The sequence below is a fragment of the Homo sapiens genome, chromosome 10 (genome assembly GCF_000001405.40).
Source record: "Homo sapiens chromosome 10, GRCh38.p14 Primary Assembly".
Classification (NCBI taxonomy): Eukaryota; Metazoa; Chordata; class Mammalia; order Primates; family Hominidae; genus Homo; species Homo sapiens.
The window spans coordinates 32804882-32823012 of NC_000010.11; the positions used below are offsets into that span (position 1 = coordinate 32804882).

General features: G+C 37.2%; 1 protein-coding gene across 42 annotated transcripts in view; it reads left to right on the top strand.

The window, feature by feature from the left end:
* CCDC7 (coiled-coil domain containing 7) overlaps window positions 1-18131 on the top strand; it is a 439541-nt gene that overhangs the window by 361558 nt on the left and 59852 nt on the right. For 37 of the 42 annotated variants that reach the window (XM_047425743.1, XM_047425742.1, NM_001321115.2 and 34 more), the window contains 2 exons: window positions 134-217; window positions 9489-9572. In XM_047425743.1, coding sequence (XP_047281699.1) covers window positions 134-217; window positions 9489-9572 — 168 coding nt within the window. Of the gene's footprint in view, window positions 1-133; window positions 218-9488; window positions 9573-17225; window positions 17310-18131 lie in introns of all 42 variants that reach the window. The other 5 variants (XM_011519666.1, XM_047425744.1, XM_017016640.1 and 2 more) reach the window with 3 other exon arrangements.

The window sequence follows — 18131 nt, forward strand, 5'->3', positions numbered from 1 at the left end:
ATTTTGCTATAACTTTTATTCATTAATAACAAAGGCTGATTAATTTAATACACACACACACACACACACACCCCTCACATTCCTATGTAAGGATTACCTCGCAAAGTATTTTTAAATCCATCTATTTCTATAGAGACTGATATAGAAAGCTTGAGAGGTGCTTTGGGAAGACGCTTATTAAATGATGAATTCAAGACACAGTCAAAGAGTTTCCCTGGTAAGAAAATATTTTTAAGTCTAATATTTCTCATTTATTTTTCTCCTTCAAAGTTTAAGTGTGTATCCTTAATAGCAATGGTGCCCATTTGTTATTATGACATGGGCACAGGTTCTCATGAATACCCTCCCATATTTGGTTTTACTCTAGAACATATTTACTAGAAATGTAAAGCTAGCTAGATATTATTACTTTTAGGACTCATCCATTTAGAAAGTAATCCATAAAATAATATAGTATAGTGAGCTTAGAATATACTTGGGACAAGTATGTTCAAAATTATTTTAGTCCCTTTCTATTTACAGTTTAGATAGAAAGTTACTTTAAATTTGCAAAAGCGGAAAGGCTATCTGATGAGTGCAATAAGTAAAGGAAAAAGACAGTTGTTTTATTCTTACAAATTCCCTCTATACTTTAAAATGTCAGGCATGGTAATAATCTCTCAACTATGGCAGAATCCTTCAGTTGTGTAAAATAGTTCAGATATTATACTACTGCCTTTGGTACAAGAGTAGCAGTGTTAGGCAAAACACCCTTTGATCTCTGGTGTGATACAAAGGAAGGCAGACAGGTTAATAGAGAATTAAGTAAAAGACATACTCAAAGAGGGACCCTCTAAAACCACTGTCATCCAGAGGTGGTTGTTACATGCCCAAAGCTGTTTTATTGTAGGAACGGCATTAGAGGCTTCACATTGCAGGATGTATTGAGCCATTCTTGCATTGCTATAAAGGAATACCTGAGACTGGGTAATTTATAAAGAAAAGAGGCTGTACAAGCATAGTGCCAGCATCTACTTGGCTTCTGGGGAGGCCTCAGGGCGCTTTTACTCACGGCAGAAAGTAAAGCAGAACAGGCACATTACATGACAAGAGCAGGAGCAAGAGAAAGAAGGGGGAAGGTGCTACATACTTTTGAACAACTGGATCTCACAAGAACTCATATACTATTGTGAGAACAGCACCATTCCATGGAGAAGGATCTGCCCTTGTGACACAAACACGTCCCACCTCCAACAATGGGGATTACATTTCAACATGAGATTTGGACAGGAAAAACATACAAACCATATCACAGGGGAAAGAGTTTTCGGTAAAATAATCAAGCCAAATCACTGAAGAAATAAATAAGCAAACAATAATAACATACCCAGAAAGAAGAGGAAAAGAATCAAAATTAAGATTGCTACATTATATGTCTAAAATGTCCAGTTTTCAGCATAAAAGTATGAGTTATTCTAATAAGGAAGAAAGTATGACCCATACACAGAAGAAGAGCAGGCAAAAAAACAGCTTATGAGAATCCTAGCTGTTAGACTTAGCAGACAATGACTACAAAGCAGTTAGTATAAATATATTGAAAGAACTAAAGGAAACCATTCTTTAACAAGAAAAGGAAGATATTATGACAATGTTTCATCAAATAGAAGATATCTACAAAGAGATAAAAAATATTTTGCAAAGGGCCACATGGAAATTACAGTGTTAAAAAGTACAAAAATTGGAAGTAAAAATTTACTAGAGGGGTTCAAGTACATTTGAACTGTCCAAAGAAAGAATTAAAAAACTTAAAGTATTAGGAACACTAAAAAGAAAACAGAGAGAGAAAGGAGCAGAAAAAATATGGATGAAAACTTTTTGAAGAATATTTAATGATAAATGAGTCTACACATCCAAGCTCAATTAATTCTAAGTAGAATAAACACAAGGGAATCTATAATCACACTCATAGTAACAATGTTGAAAGATAAAGAGAAAAGCTTAAAAGCAGCAAGAGAAAAACAATGCATGATGTAAAAGAGAACCCCACTAAGATTAAAAGCTGACTACTTATCATTAGGAACTATTAGGGCCAGAAGGCATTGGGACAGCACATTCAAAAAGCTAAATGAAGGACTGTTAACCAAAAATCTTATATCCAGCAAAACTATTTATTGAACATGAAGGTGAAATGAAGATATTTCTAAATAGACTTTTTTAAATTAGAAAATTTATTCCTATCAGAACTGCTTTCCAAGAAATATAGAGTTCTTCAGGTTGAAAACCATTGACCTCTGACACTAACTTGAACCCATAAAACGAACATAGGTTAAAGGAATTCTGTAACTCTGAAAGACCATATAAATATACTTCACTTCTTTCTACTCTTAATTTTAACTCTTAATTGATATAAAATGCAATTGTATAAAAAATATTTACAGAATTTTATTGCTGGGACTTTAAAATATAGACATGTAGTATATTCCAGAATGTTAGCACACAGGCGATGGTTGAGAGAAATGATGTATTGAAGTTAAAAAAAAATGACAAGAGAGGGGGCTCCAAGATGACTGTCTTAAAGATATCTGGCACTCTTCTCAACACATACAAAAAAACAAATTTGGGAATTGATAATCATATTTCAAATAGATCGTCTAATCAGGAACACTAGAATTCAGCAGAGAATTAACAGGAAACACCTGAGGCATAGAAGGAAAGGGAAAGGAGGCAGCTGACCTAAGTAGGATCGATAAAGTCCAGAGAGGCTCCCCAGTGTGGGAAAAGGGTGAGAGGTCCCTAGAAGTCAACATTCCCACCATAGATTCCTCCAATCCTAGCCATGGGAGAGCCACCCTTACAGGCCCTGACCAGTGGCATTGCTCTAGAGAGGGAGCTCATGTGAGTCACACACACACACCGTGAGAACCAAGCAGATGCAGCATAGTGCCTTTTTTCCTCTGCCTCCTGGGTTCAAGTGATTCTTCTGTCTTAGCCTCCCAAGTAGCTGGGACTACAGGCATGCACCACCATGCCCAGCTAATTTTTGTATTTTCAGTAGTGATGGGGTTTTTCCATGTTGGCCAGGCTGGTGTGGCCCAACATCCCTACATCGTAGAGCCCCACTGACATCCCCCTGCATCTATGCAGTGGGCTGCAGACACTGCCACTGAGAGCAACTCAATCCTACCCAGCGGCAGGACCACCACACAGTTGGATGCACCCTGAGAACAGGCTCTCCCTGACAACTGCCATTGCTGTTAATGCCACCCAGGCACACCACTTGGGGTCCTGGGGATTTCCCCACCCTGCCTGCCAAAGCATGTGCCCATGCATACCATTGGGGGATCTGAGAACCAGCCCTCTCAGCCTAGAGCCGTGTTTCAGTGCCCAAAAATGCCTCCCAGGGGCCAGGGGATTACCTTGCCCCATCAGTTGCCCTGATTACCAGGGGACCTCACAATAGGCCCAGAAACCTGTCAGCAGCACCAAAGCATGACACCCAAAGGCCGGGGGCTCATCCTGCCCCATTTACCACCACAGGCATCTGTGCACTCTTCCTGGGTCCTGGAGGATGAACTCAGCTAGCCAGTTGTAGCCACTACTAACACCAGTGCATGCTACTTGGGAGCCTGTGGGTTGTTTCACCACTGTGACTTTTATTGCCCACATCATGTACACTGTCTGGAGGCTCAAGGACCCACCTACCTGCTGGCACCATGGCCAGCACTCAAGCAAGCCACCTAGAGGCCCAAGGATTAGCCTGCCTGGACTCACTAATCCTGATGCTCACATATATCACCTAGGGGCCCAAGGATAGGCATGCTCAGCCATTGCTATCACTAATGAGGCCAAGGACTGATTCACCTGGGGTCCCTGTCCCCAGCAAAGCCTCACGGCAGCATCCACTAGCAACTACAGCCTAAGTCATTGAAGAAATGATGGACATCACTGACACTGTTATAGCTGAAAAAAAAAATTATACAGAGGCCGTATACCACTGCATACACCCAGAATCAAAGCTAAAATGCCCAACCCAGGGTAGGCATGGTGACTCATGCCTATACCCCAGCACTTTGGGAGGTGAAGGTGGCAGGATCACTTGAGATCAGACATTTGAGGCCAGCCTTGGTTCAAGACCAGTGAGACACTGTCTCTACCAAAAAACTTTTTTTAATTTGAAAAGTGCCCTATCCAACCAACATCATAGATAGCATCTTCAGGAAAAAGTTTTGCTCTGTGAAAGCCAATCCACAAATTGAGAGAAGTGAGTGTTACATGAGATGACAGACACATAAGTACACAAGAAACATGAAAAAGCGAGGAAATGTGACACCTCAAAAAGAACACAATAATTCTTCAGCAACAGATTCCAGTGAAAAAGAAATTAATGAAACGCCTGAAACAGAATTGAAAATAATGATATTAAAGAAGCTCAATGAGGTAGAAGAGAACACAGATAAACAATACAAAGAAATCAGAAAAATAATTTTGAGAGGAATGAAAAATTTATTAAAGAGGTAGATATCATTAAGAAAAGAACCAAACAGAAATCCCATAATTCAATTCAATTAATAAAACAAAAAATACATTCAGTGGGAGAAAATTTTTGCAATCTACCCATCTGACAAAGGGCTAATATCCAGAATCTACAAAGAACTCAAACAAATTTGCAAGAAAAAAACAAACAGCCCCATCAAAAAGTGGGCAAAGGATATGAACAGACACTTTTTAAAAGAAGACATTTATGCAGCCAACAGACACAAGAAAAAATGCTCATCATCACTGGTCATCAGAGAAATGCAAATCAAAACCACAATGAGATACCATCTCACACCAGTTAGAATGGCAATCATTAAAAAGTCAGAAAACAACAGATGCTGGAGAGGATGTGGAGAAATAGGAACACTTTTACACTGTTAGTGGGACTGTAAACTAGTTCAACCATTGTGGAAGTCAGTGTGGCAATTCCTCAGGGATCTAGAACTAGAAATACCATTTGACCCAGCCATCCCATTACTTGGTATATACCCAAAGGATTATAAATCATGCTACTATAAAGACACATGCACGCATATGTTTATTGCGGCACTATTCACAATAGCAAAAACTGGGAACGAACTCAAATGTCTATCAGTGATAGACTGGATTAAGAAAATGTGGCACATATACACCATGGATGTGGAAACACACAAATGAGGAAGAAAAAGAACTCAAATGTTACTATGGCAGAAAATCACCAAACCACAATGATAAACAACACAAGAGAAAGAAAGAAACAAAGGATAAAGAAAACAACCAGAAAATAAGAAAACAATAGGAATAAGTTCTCACATATCAATATTATTCTTGAATGTAAACAGAAAATGGCTGAATGGATTTTAAAAACATGAGCAAACTGTATACTGCCTATAAGAAACTCACTTCACCTGTAAAGAAACATATAGACTGGTAGTGAAGGAATGGAAAAAATATTCCATGCAAACAGAAAACAAAAGTGAGCAGGAGTAGCTGTACTTATTTCAGATAAAACAGACTTTAAGTCAAAAACAATAAAAAGAGATAAGGATAATTATTATATAATGATAAAAGGATCAATTCAGAAAGAGGATATACCAATTTTAAACTTATATTCACCCAACATTGAAGCATCCAGATATATAAAGCAAATATTAAATCTAAAGGGACAGAGACAGTCCAATAAAATAATAGCTAGAAACTTCAACACCTCATTCTCAGCATTAGACAGATTGTCTAGACAGAAAATCAACGAAGAAACATTGAGTTTAAACATCAGTTTAAACCAAATGGCCCTAACAGATAATTACAAAGTATTTTCTTCAGTAACTGCAGAACACACATTCTTCTCGTCAGCACATGGAACATTCTCCAGGTTAGACCATATGTTAGGCCACAAAAGATGTCTTAACAAATTTTTAAAAATCAAAATCATATCAAGTATTTTTTCAGACCATGACAGATTAAAACTAGAAATCAAAAACTAGAGGAACTTTGGGAACTGTGCAAACACATGGAAATTAAGCAAAGTGCTCATGAATGATCACTGAATCAATGAAGAGATTAAAAAGGAAATCAAAAAATGCTTGAAACAAATGAAAATGAAAATGCAACATATCAAAACCTATGGGATATAACAAAAGCAATGCTAAAAATGGAAGTTTATAGCAATAAACACCTCCATCAAAGAGTAGAAAGATTTCAAATAAATTAACAATGCACCTCAAGAGACTAGAAAAGCAAAAACAAACCAATCACAACAAAAATTAATAGAAGAAAAGCAAAAAGGATCAGAGCAGAACTAAGTGAAATAGATACTTAAGCAAAGGATCAACCAAATCAAAACTTGGTGTTTTAAAAAGATGAAATTAATAAACCACTAGGTAGACTAACTTAAAAAAAGATAGAAGATACAAATTAACAAAATCAGAAATGAAAAAGGAGATAGAACTGATACCACAGAATTACAAAAGATCATCAGAAAATATTATGAACAACTATACGCTGATAAACTGGAAAATCTAGAGGAAATTGATAGATTTCTGGACACATATAGCCTACCAAGATTGAATTAAGAAGAAATAGAAAATCTGGTTAATGGGTACTACAAACGTGCTGTTAGATAAAAAGAATAAGTTATAAAGTTCCGTAGCAGAGGAGATTGATTATAGTTAATAACAATGTATTTTGTATTTCAGAATAGCTAGAGAGAGGTCTAGAAATGTTCCCAACACATGACTAGATGGCCTCACTGCCAATTTTTTCCAAACCTTTAAAGAACTAACACCAATTCCCCTCAAACTATTCCAAAAAATTGAAGAGGACGGAATTCTCTGTAACTCAGTCTACAAGGCCAGCATTTACTCTGATACCAAAACCAGACAAGGACATAAAAAAATAAAAGTACAAGTCAATATCTCTGATGAACATCAACATAAAAATCCCCAACAAAATGCTAGCAAACCAAATTCAACAACATATCAGGAAGATAATGCACTGTGATCAAGTTGGATCTATCCCACGGATGTAAGGGTGGTTTAACATATACAAATCAATAAACAAGGTAGATCAACAGAAAGAAGGACAAAACCATATAATCACCTCAGTAGATGCAGAAAAAACATTTGATAAAATTCAACATTCCTTCATGATAAAATTCTCAACAACTTAGGCATAAAAGGAATGTACCTCAAACTAATAAAGTCCATATATGACAGACCCACAGCTAACATCATACTGAATGATGATAAATCGCTGAGGTGATATTCTAAATAATCTGACTTGATTTTTATGCACACTATACATATAACCAAATATCACATGTACCCCATAAATAGGCACAAATATTATGTATTAACAAAAAAGAAAATGACAAGATATGATAATCTGAAACCACAGGAACAAATTAATAGAACCAGAAATTATAAATAAGAAGGTTAATATAATACAAATTGGAAATATATATTTTCTTTCTTGCCTCAGCTTTTTAAAAAAGCATAAAATTATATAAAGAAATAATTATAACAACAACTATAACCATGTCTTTATTATTTACAAATGTGCTATGTATAACAATAGCACAAAAATGGGGAACGGAATACAGCTATATGGGAGTTACTTTTCTATATTTCACTGGAATTTAGTATAAATTTAAAGTACTTTTTAAACTTGACTGTGATGATGGTGACAGACATTACTGAATGTATTAAAATCCATAGAATTTAAGATTTTAGATAGCTTATTTAAAATACTCAGTGAACTTCAAGCAGAAAAACATTTTTAAAAGATTTAAAGCAAAGGGAGGATATTGTGAAGGAGAAAGATTGTAACTCTTAGTAAATTATAAGTGTCTCCAGCACATACCTTTTAATTTCTAGTATTTAACCCAATATTTCCTCAGATGGTCTCATTTTTTTCCCTGATTGTGTAAGGATCATTTGCTTGCTCATTTCAAATGAACCCGTCCTTCTTTGATATATCAGTTGAAGAAAGAACAAAGGAAGCTAAAATACATCTGCCGATGTTTCCAGTTTTGAGTCGCTATATCTCTTATATTGTTACTTGATTACTGAAAACTTGTTCTGCTCAATCTTATGGATCACTTTTTACTTTGGTAGTGAGGCAGTGCTCAGTATAGAATGCAGTTGTGGCATATTTGAGCAGCTGGTGTCATAATGCAACCATTTACATTATTCATGTATTCACCAATTTTCCCAAAACAGCAACAACAACAACAACAACAACAACAAACCGCTCTACAATACAATGGAAGGATTATGACAAGTGTCCAACCATAGTTATATACTCTGCTAGAGCCAATTCTACCCACAGAATCTTAAGCCCAATGTTGACCTTATGTCACCAATCCTCATTATCCCCTTTTCAATATGAATTTCTTTTTAATAATTTTTATACGTTTTTATCTCATTGAACTTAGTAGTTTCTAATTCCAGGAAAATATCAAACCACATAAAAACTTAAATGGAAACGGATCCAATAACAATTCTGATAGTGCTGCAAATCTGACCATTACCTCCTTGATTCATGTTCAAGGGACCTCAGAGGGCAGTTTTTCTCAGTTTTACAAATATCTTGTAATGTTTTTCATAACCAATATCTAAAGAATTTACAATTACATAACGTAAAAAGGGGAAAGAAATATTCCTCAATGAATCAAATAATTTCTGCCTCATGAGAAGTTTCTGTGACTAATGAGGCCATGGTTTGCAGCTTGACCTATGGAAAAAAATGTTCCACCTCACATAGTACATACCTACAGGTTGGGTATATTTTTAGTGTAAACTTGAAAGATACATTATCATCATAATGTCCCTAGGATGATTTCAATTTGCATAAGAAATAGCATTGTATAGAACAATTACTGGTTAAGAAATTGTGCAGCATCAGGTTGTGCATCAGTTTTACCTTTCCCTGGCTATATGATATTTCAATTCATTAAACATATCTAAGCCTGAATATAGTCTGGCTTATATAATTGTTAACATCCTTTCCTTTTTAAGGTTTTTGTTATTTTCCAATCCAGACATTTCATTTTAATTCTTCTATAAATACAATTTTTATTTTCATTTATTTTTTTCTTTTTTGCGACAGAGTCTCGCTGTGTCACCGGGCTGGAGTGCAGTGGCATGATCTCAGCTCACTGCAACCTCCGACTCCTGGGTTTGAGTGATTCTTCTGCCTCAGCCTCCCAAGTAGCTGGGACTACAGGCATGCGCCACCACACCCAGCTAATTTTTGTATTTTTAGTAGAGACGGGGTTTCACCATGTTGGCCAGGATGGTCTCGATCTCTTGACCTCATGATCCACCTGCACTTTGGCCTCCCAAAGTGCTGGGATTACAGGCGTGAGCCACCGTGCCCAGCCACAAATATTTTAAGTTAGTAACACACACACATATATGTACATGCACTCACACTGTCACATTTGTGTATAAATGATTACCTTACAGTGTTTTGATACCTGTTTATTTCTATAGGGCCTGATATAGAACAATTGACAGATGCATTTGGAAGAGATATACTAAAGGATGAATTCAAGACACGATCAAAGAGTCTCCCTGGTAAGAACAAAAACTTTACACATTTAGTATTTCTGGTTAGTTTATATTCTCTGGAGTGTAACTAAGTGTGCATCTTTAAGGAGAACAGTGCCTATGAATTATTACATAGGCAAAAGTCTTTATGAATTCCCCTCTATAATATTTCAACTCTAGTTTCAACTAGCAATGTAAAATTAGCTTTTCAAAAGCAGAAGGGCTAGATGATGGATGTGATAAGAAGATGAATATAACAGATAGTAATTTTATTGGTTACCAGTTGACTCTATATGGTAAAAATATCAGTCAAGTTTGTAACATCTCAGCTGCAATAAAGTTATTTAGTTATATTTTTCAGAGATTACACAACTGAATTTAGTCCTGGGGTTACAGTGTTAGACACACTTCTCTATGACCGTTGGTGTGATACCAAAAGAAGACATTTTAACAAATAAATAATGGAAAGAGACATTCAAAGAGTGCCCTGCTAAAACCACTGTCATCCGAGGGAAACTGTTTGCATGCCCAAGGAGATGCCCTCAAAAAGCAACATAAGAGACTTTACACTGTAGAGGAAAGAGACTTTAGGAAAATACTTCTATCAAATCACACACATACACAAACACCCCACCACCAACAACAACAACAAGCAGCAAACAAACAAAAACAACAAGCCCCACAAAAAGGAAGAGTCAATCAACATACAGATTTGCTATAATACATTATCTAAATTGTCCATATTTTAGCAAAAAAATTTAGGACATGCACAGAAACAGTACTCTGTAACCCAAACACAAGGAAAAAGGCAAGGAAAACTGCTTGTGAGAGTCCTACACGTTAGATTTAGCAGACAATGATTACAAAGTAGTCTAATAATAATAATAATATCATCAAATAATTAAAACATTTCTCAAAGAAGAAAAAGAAGGTACAATAACAATCTTTTATCAAATAGATGTCAACATTGTGATGTAAATTAAATTTTTAAAGAACCAAATTAATATTTGGAATTGAAAGGTAAAATAACTACAAGGGAAAATTCATTACAGGGTCAAGAAAAGATTTGAAATGTCAGAAGGAGTAAGCAAACTTAATATAATGGGAATACCAGAAGGAGAGTCTTCCAAGTAGAGAGAGAATAAGAAAAAATATTTGAAGAAAATTGGCTGAATACTTTGAAAAATATTTACTAGGTAATATTAATCTATACATCTGAGTTCTATTAAATCTAAGTAGAATAAATACAAATCAATCCATGACCAGACTAATCACTGTAAAAATGTTGAAAAAGAAAGAGAAAATGTACAATGCATCAAGAGGAAAACAATTCATCCCGTAGAAGAGAACCCCAGTGAGATTAACATCTGACTCAGCATTAGAAACTTTTGAAGTCCAGAAGGCTGTGGTGTTGTATATTAAAAGTGCTGAAAGAGCGGTGGAGCCAAGATGGCCAAATAGGAACAGCTCCAGTCCACAGCTCCCAGTGTGAGCAACGCAGAAGATGGGTGATTTCTGCATTTCCAACTGAGGTACCGGGTTCATCTCACTTGGGAGTGTTGGCAGGACAGTGGGTGCAGTGCACCAAGTGTGAGCTGAAGCAGGGTGAGGCATCACCTCACCCGGGAAGTGCAAGGGATCAGGGAATTCCCTTTCCTAGTAAAAGAAAGGGGTGACACATGGCACCTGGAAAACCGGGTCACTCCCACCCTAATACTGCACTTTTCCAATGGTCTTAGCAAATGGCACACCAGGAGATTATATCCTGCGCATGGCTCGGAGGGTCCTGCGCCCATGGAGCCTCGCTCATTGCTAGCACAGCAGTCTGAGATCAAACTGCAAGGTGGCAGCGAGGCTGGTGGAGGGGTGCCTGCGATTGCTGAGGCTTGAGTAGGTAAACAAAGCAGCCAGGAAGCTCAAACTGGGTGGAGCCCACCGCAGCTCAAGGAGGCCTGCCTGCCTCTGTAGACTCCACCTCTGGGGGCAGGGCATTGCCAAACAAAAGGCAGCAGAAACCTCTGCAGACTTAAATGTCCCTGTCTGACAGCTTTGAAGAGAGTAGTGGTTCTCCTAGCACGCAGCTGGAGATCTGAGAATGGACAGACTGCCTCCTCAAGTGGGTTCCTGACCCTCGAGTAGCCTAACTGGGAGGCAACCCCTAGTAGGGGCAGACTGACACCTCACATGGCCAGGTACTCCTCTGAGACAAAACTTCCAGAGGAACGATCAGGCAGCAACATTTGCTGTTCACCAATATCCGCTGTTCTGCAGCCTCCGCTGCTGATACCCAGGCAAACAGGGTCTGGAGTAGACCTCCAGCAAACTCCAACAGACCTGCAGCTGAGGGTCCTGACTATTAGAAGGAAAACTAACAAACACAAAGGACATCCACACCAAAACCCCATCTATGCATCACCATCATCAAAGACCAAAGGTAGATAAAACCACAAAGATGGGGAAAAAAAAGAGCAGAAAAAACAGAAACTCTAAAAATCAGAGTGCCTCTCCTCCTCCAAAGGAAAGCAGCTCCTCACAAGCAACGGAACAAAGCTGGATGGAGAATGACTTTGATGAGTTGAGAGAAGAAGGCTTCAGATGATCAGACTACTCTGAGCTAAAGCAGGAAGTTCGAACCCATGGCGAAGAAGTTAAAAACCTTGAAAAAAAAATTAGACAAATGGCTAACTAGAATAACCAATGCAGAGAAGTCCTTAAAGGACCTGATGGAGCTGAAAACCATGGCACGAGAAGTACGCGACGTATGCACAAGCCTGAGTAGCCGATTTGATCAACTGGAAGAGGGGGTATCAGTGATGGAAGATCAAATGAATGAAATGAAGCAAGAAGAGAAGTTTAGAGAAAAAAGAATAAAAAGAAACAAACAAAGCCTTCAAGAAATATGGGACTACATGAAAAGACCAAATCTACGTCTGATTGGTGTACCCGAAAGTGACAGGGAGAATGGAACCAAGTTGGAAAACACTCTGTAGGATATTATCCAGGAGAACTTCCCCAATCTAGCAAGGCAGGCCAACATTCAAATTCAGGAAATACAGAGAAAGCCACAAAGATACTCCTCGAGAAGAGCAACTCCAAGACACATAATTGTCAGATTCACCAAAGTTGAAATGAAGGAAAAAATGTTAAGGGCAGCCAGAGAGAAAGGTCAGGTTACCCACAAAGGGAAGCCCATCAGACTAACAGCTGATCTCTCAGCAGAAACTCTACAAGCCAGAAGAGAGTGGGGGCCAATATTCAACATTCTTAAAGAAAAGAATTTTCAACTCAGAATTTCATATCCAGCCAAACTAAGCTTCATAAGTGAAGGAGAAATAAAATCCTTTACAGACAAGCAAATGTTGAGAGATTTTGTCACCACCAGGCCTGCCCTAAAAGAGCTACTGAAGGAAGCACTAAACATGGAAAGGAACAACCGGTACCAGCCACGGCAAAAACATGCCAAATGGTAAAGACTGTCAAGGCTAGGAAGAAACTGCATCAACTAACGAGCAAAATAACCAGCTAACATCATAATGACATGATCAAATCCACACATAACAATATTAACCTTAAATGTAAATAGGCTAAATGCTCTAATTAAAAGACACAGACTGGCAAATTGGATAAAGAGTCAAGACCCATCAGTGTGCTGTATTCAGGAAACCCATCTCATGTGCAGAGACACACATAGGCTCAAAATAAAGGGATGGAGGAAGATCTACCAAGCAAATGGAAAACAAAAAAAGGCAAGGGTTGCAATCCTAGTTTCTGATAAAACAGACTTTAAACCAATGAAGATCAAAAGAGATAAAGAAGGCCATTACATAATGGTAAAGAGATCAATTCAACAAGAAGAGCTAACTATCCTAAATATATATGCACCCAATACAGGAGCACCCAGATTTATAAAGCAAGTCCTTAGAGACCTAGAAAGAGACTTAGACTCCCACACAATAATAATGGGAGACTTTAACACCCCACTGTCAACATTAGACAGATCAACGAGACAGAAAGTTAACAAGGATATCCAGGAATTGAACTCAGCTCTGCACCAAGTGGACCTAATAGACATCTACAGAACTCTCCACCCCAAATCAACAGAATATACATTCTTTTCAGCACCACACCACACCTATTCCAAAATTGACCACATAGTTGGAAGTAAAGCACTCCTCAGCAAATGTAAAAGCACAGAAATTATAACAAACTGTCTCTCAGACCACAGTGTAATCAAACTAAAACTCAGGATTAAGTAACTCAGGATTAACAACCTGCTCCTGAATGACTACTGGGTACATAACGAAATGAAGGCAGAAATAAAGATGTTCTTTGAAACCAATGAGAACAAAGACACAACATACCAGAATCTCTGGGACACATTCAAAGCAGTGTGTAGAGGGAAATTTATAGCACTAATACCCACAAGAGAAAAAAGGAAAGATCTAAAATTGACACCCTAACGTCACAATTAAAAGAACTAGAAAAGCAAGAGCAAACACATTGAAAAGCTAGCAGAAGGCCAGAAATAACTAAGATCAGAGCAGAACTGAAGGAAATAGAGACATAAATAACCCTTCAAAAAAATCAATGAATCCAGGAGCTGGTTTTTTGAAAAGATCAACAAAATTGATAGACCACTAGCAAGACCAATAAAGAAGAAAGGAGAGAAGAATCAAATAGACGCAATAAAAAATGATAAAGGGGATATCACCATTGATCCCACAGAAATAGAAACTACCATCAGAGAATACTATAAACACCTCTACACAAATAAACTAGAAAATCTAGAAGAAATGGATACATTCCTTGACACAAACACCCTCCCAAGACCAAACCAGGAAGAAGTTAAATCTCTGAATAGACCAATAACAGGCTCTGAAATTGAGGCAATAATTAATAGCTTACCAACCAAAAAAAGTCCAGGACCAGATGGATTCATAGCTGAATTCTCCCAGAGGTAAAAGGTGGAGCTGTTATGATTCCTTCTGAAACTATTCCAACCAATAGAAAAAGAGGGAATCCTCCCTAACTCATTTTATGAGGTCAGCATCATCCTGATACCAAAGCCTGACAGAGACACAACAAAAAAAAGAGAATTTTAGACCAATATCCCTCATGAACATCGATGCAAAAATCCTCAATAAAATACTGACAAACTGAATCCAGCAGCACATCAAAAAGCTTATCCACCATGATCAAATGGGCTTCATCCCTGGGATGCAAAGCTGGTTCAAAATATGCAAATCAATAAACGTGATCCAGCATATAAACAGAACCAATGACAAAAACCACATGATTATCTCAATAGATGCAGAAAAGGCCTTTGACAAAATTCAACAACCTTCATGCTAAAAACTCTCAATAAATTAGTTATTGATGGGACATATCTCAAAATAATAAGAGCTATCTATGACAAACCCACAGCCAATATCATACTGAATGGGCAAAAACTGGAAGCATTCCCTTTGAAAACTGGCACAAGACAGGGATGTCCTCTCTCACCACTCCTATTCAACATAGTGTTGGAAGTTCTGACCAGGGCAATCAGGCAGGAGAAGGAAATAAAGGGTATTCAATTAGGAAAAGAGGAAGTCACATTGTCCGTGTTTGGAGATGACATGATTGTATATCTAGAAAACCCCACTGTCTCAGTCCAAAATCTCCTTAAGCTGAGAGGCAACTTCAGCAAAGTCTCCAGATACAAAATCAATGTGCAAAAATCACAAGCATTCTTATACACCAATAACAGACAGAAAGCCAAATCATGAGTGAACTCCCATTCACAATTGCTTCAAAGAGAATAAAATACCTAGGAATCCAACTTACAAGGGACAGGAAGGACCTCTTCAAGGAGCACTACAAACTACTGCTCAGTGAAATAAAAGAGGATACAAACAAATGGAAGAACATTCCATGCTCATGGGTAGGAAGAATCAATAGAATTGTGAAAATGGCCATACTGCCCAAGGTAATTTACAGATTCAATGCCATCCCCATTAAGCTACCAATGACTTTCTTCACAGAATTGGAAAAAACTACTTTAAAGTTCATATGGAACCAAAAAAGAGCCCACATTGCCAAGTCAATCCTAAGCCAAAAGAACAAAGCTGGAGGCATCACGCTACCTGACTTCCAACTATACTACAAGGCTACAGTAACCAAAAGAGCATGGTACTGGTACCAAAACAGAGATATAGACCAATGGAACAGGACATAGCCCTCAGAAATAATGCTGCATATCTACAACTATCTGATCTTTGACAAACTTGACAAAAACAAGAAATGGGGAAAGGATTCCCTATTTAATAAATGGTGCTGAGAAAACTGGCTAGCCATATGTAGAAAGCTGAAACTAGATAGCTTCCTTACACCTTATACAAAAATTAATTCAAGATGGATTAAAGACTTAAATGTTAGACCTAAAACCATAAAAACCCTAGAAGAAAACCTAGGCAATACCATTCAGGACATAGGCATGGGTAAGGACTTCATGTCTAAAACACCAAAAGCAATGGCAACAAAAGCCTAAATTGACAAATGGGATCTAATTAAACTGAAGAGCTTCTGCACAGCAAAGGAAACTACCATCAGAGTGAACAGGCAACCTACAGAATGGGAGAAAATTTTTACAATCTACCCATCTGACAAAGGGCTAATATCCAGAATCTACAATGAACTCAAACAAATTTACAAGAAAAAACAACCCCATCAAAAAGTGGGCGAAGGATATGAACAGACACTTCTCAAAAGAAGACATTTATGCAGCCAACGGACACATGAAAAAATGCTCACCATCACTGGCCACCAGAGAAATGCAAATCAAAACCACAATGAGATACCATCTCACACCAGTTAGAATGGCGATCATTAAAAAGTCAGGAAACAACAGGTGCTGGAGAGGATGTGGAGAAATAGGAACACTTTTACACTGTTGGTGGGACTGTAAACTAGTTCAACCATTGTGGAAGTCAGTGTGGCGATTCTTCAGGGATCTAGAACTAGAAGTACCATTTGACCCAGCCATCCCATTACTGGGTATATACCCAAAGGATTATAAAACATGCTGCTATAAATACACATGCACGCGTATGTTTATTGCGGCACTATTCACAATAGCAAAGACTTGGAACCAACCCAAATGTCCAACAATGATAGACTGGATTAAGAAAAGTGACACATATACACCATGGAATACTATGCAACCATAAAAAAGGATGAGCTCATGTCCTTTGTAGGGACATGGATGAAGCTGGAAATCATCATTCTCAGCAAACTATCGCAAGGCCAAAAAACCAAACACCACATGTTCTCTCTCATAGGTGGGAATTGAACAATGAGAACACTTGGACACAGGAAGGGGAACATCACACACTGGGGCCTGTTGTGGGGTGGGGGTAGGGGGAGGGATAGCATTAGGAGATATACCTAATGTTAAATGATGAGTTAATGGGTGCAGCACACCAACATGGCACATGTATACATATGTAACAAACCTGCACGTTGTGCACATGTACCCTAAAACTTAAAGTATAACAAAAAAAGAAAAACAAACAAAACAATAAATAAAAGTGCTGAAAAAAAAAAATCTACCAACCAATAATTTTATTGCTAGCAAAACTGCTTTTCAGAAAAGGTGAAATATGAAATTACTAAATAAAAATTGAGAGATTTCATTTCTAGCAGAACTGTTTTCCAAGAAATTCTAAAGAAATTTCTTCAGGCTAAAGCTGACCTCTGACAGTAATTTGAAGCCCCCTAAAAAAGGTATGAGTTAAATGTTATAATTGCAAAAGAGAGTATGTACAAATATATATTCCACCTTCTTTCTTTTCTTAATTTATCTAAAAGACAACTGTATAAAAAATTTATATAATTGTATCATTGGGCATATAACATATCAACATGTAATATATTCATGATAGCATCACAAAGGTGATTGGAGGGAGAAGTGATGTAACACTGTAAGAAAATAACACTGGATGATAAATACAGAGCAAGAATAAAAATAACCAAAAAATGTAAATAAGTGTGTTCATGTAACAAATCCTATAAACATGTACTTGATCTTCTTTCTTTTCTCAGTTTATTTAAAAGGCATAAAGTTATACAAAGAAATAATTATAACAATAATTATTACATTGTCCTTAATATTTACAGGTATAATATGTATAACAGTAGCACAAAAACTGGGGAAAGAGAATAAAGGTATATATAAAGGAGTAATGTTTCTGTATCTCAGTAGAATGTAATTAGTGTAAATGTGAAAAAGATTATAAAGTTGACTGAGGTAATACACATTTCTGTAATAAGCATTGAATTGGACACTTTAAATGGAAAAATAGTATGGTTTAAAAATATACACATTTTTAAAAGCTCAGGAACTCTAAGCAGGATAAGATTTTGTAAAATTTAAAGCAACAGGATAATAATGTAAGGGAGGAAAATTGTGACTTTTACTAGTTGATAAATTTCTCCAGCACATAACTTTGTATTCGTAGTGTTTAACTCTAAAATGCTCTACTCATTGACTCCCTGCTTATCTAAAAATCCTCTGATTTCTTAGTTCAAATGAATCAGCCTTTCTTA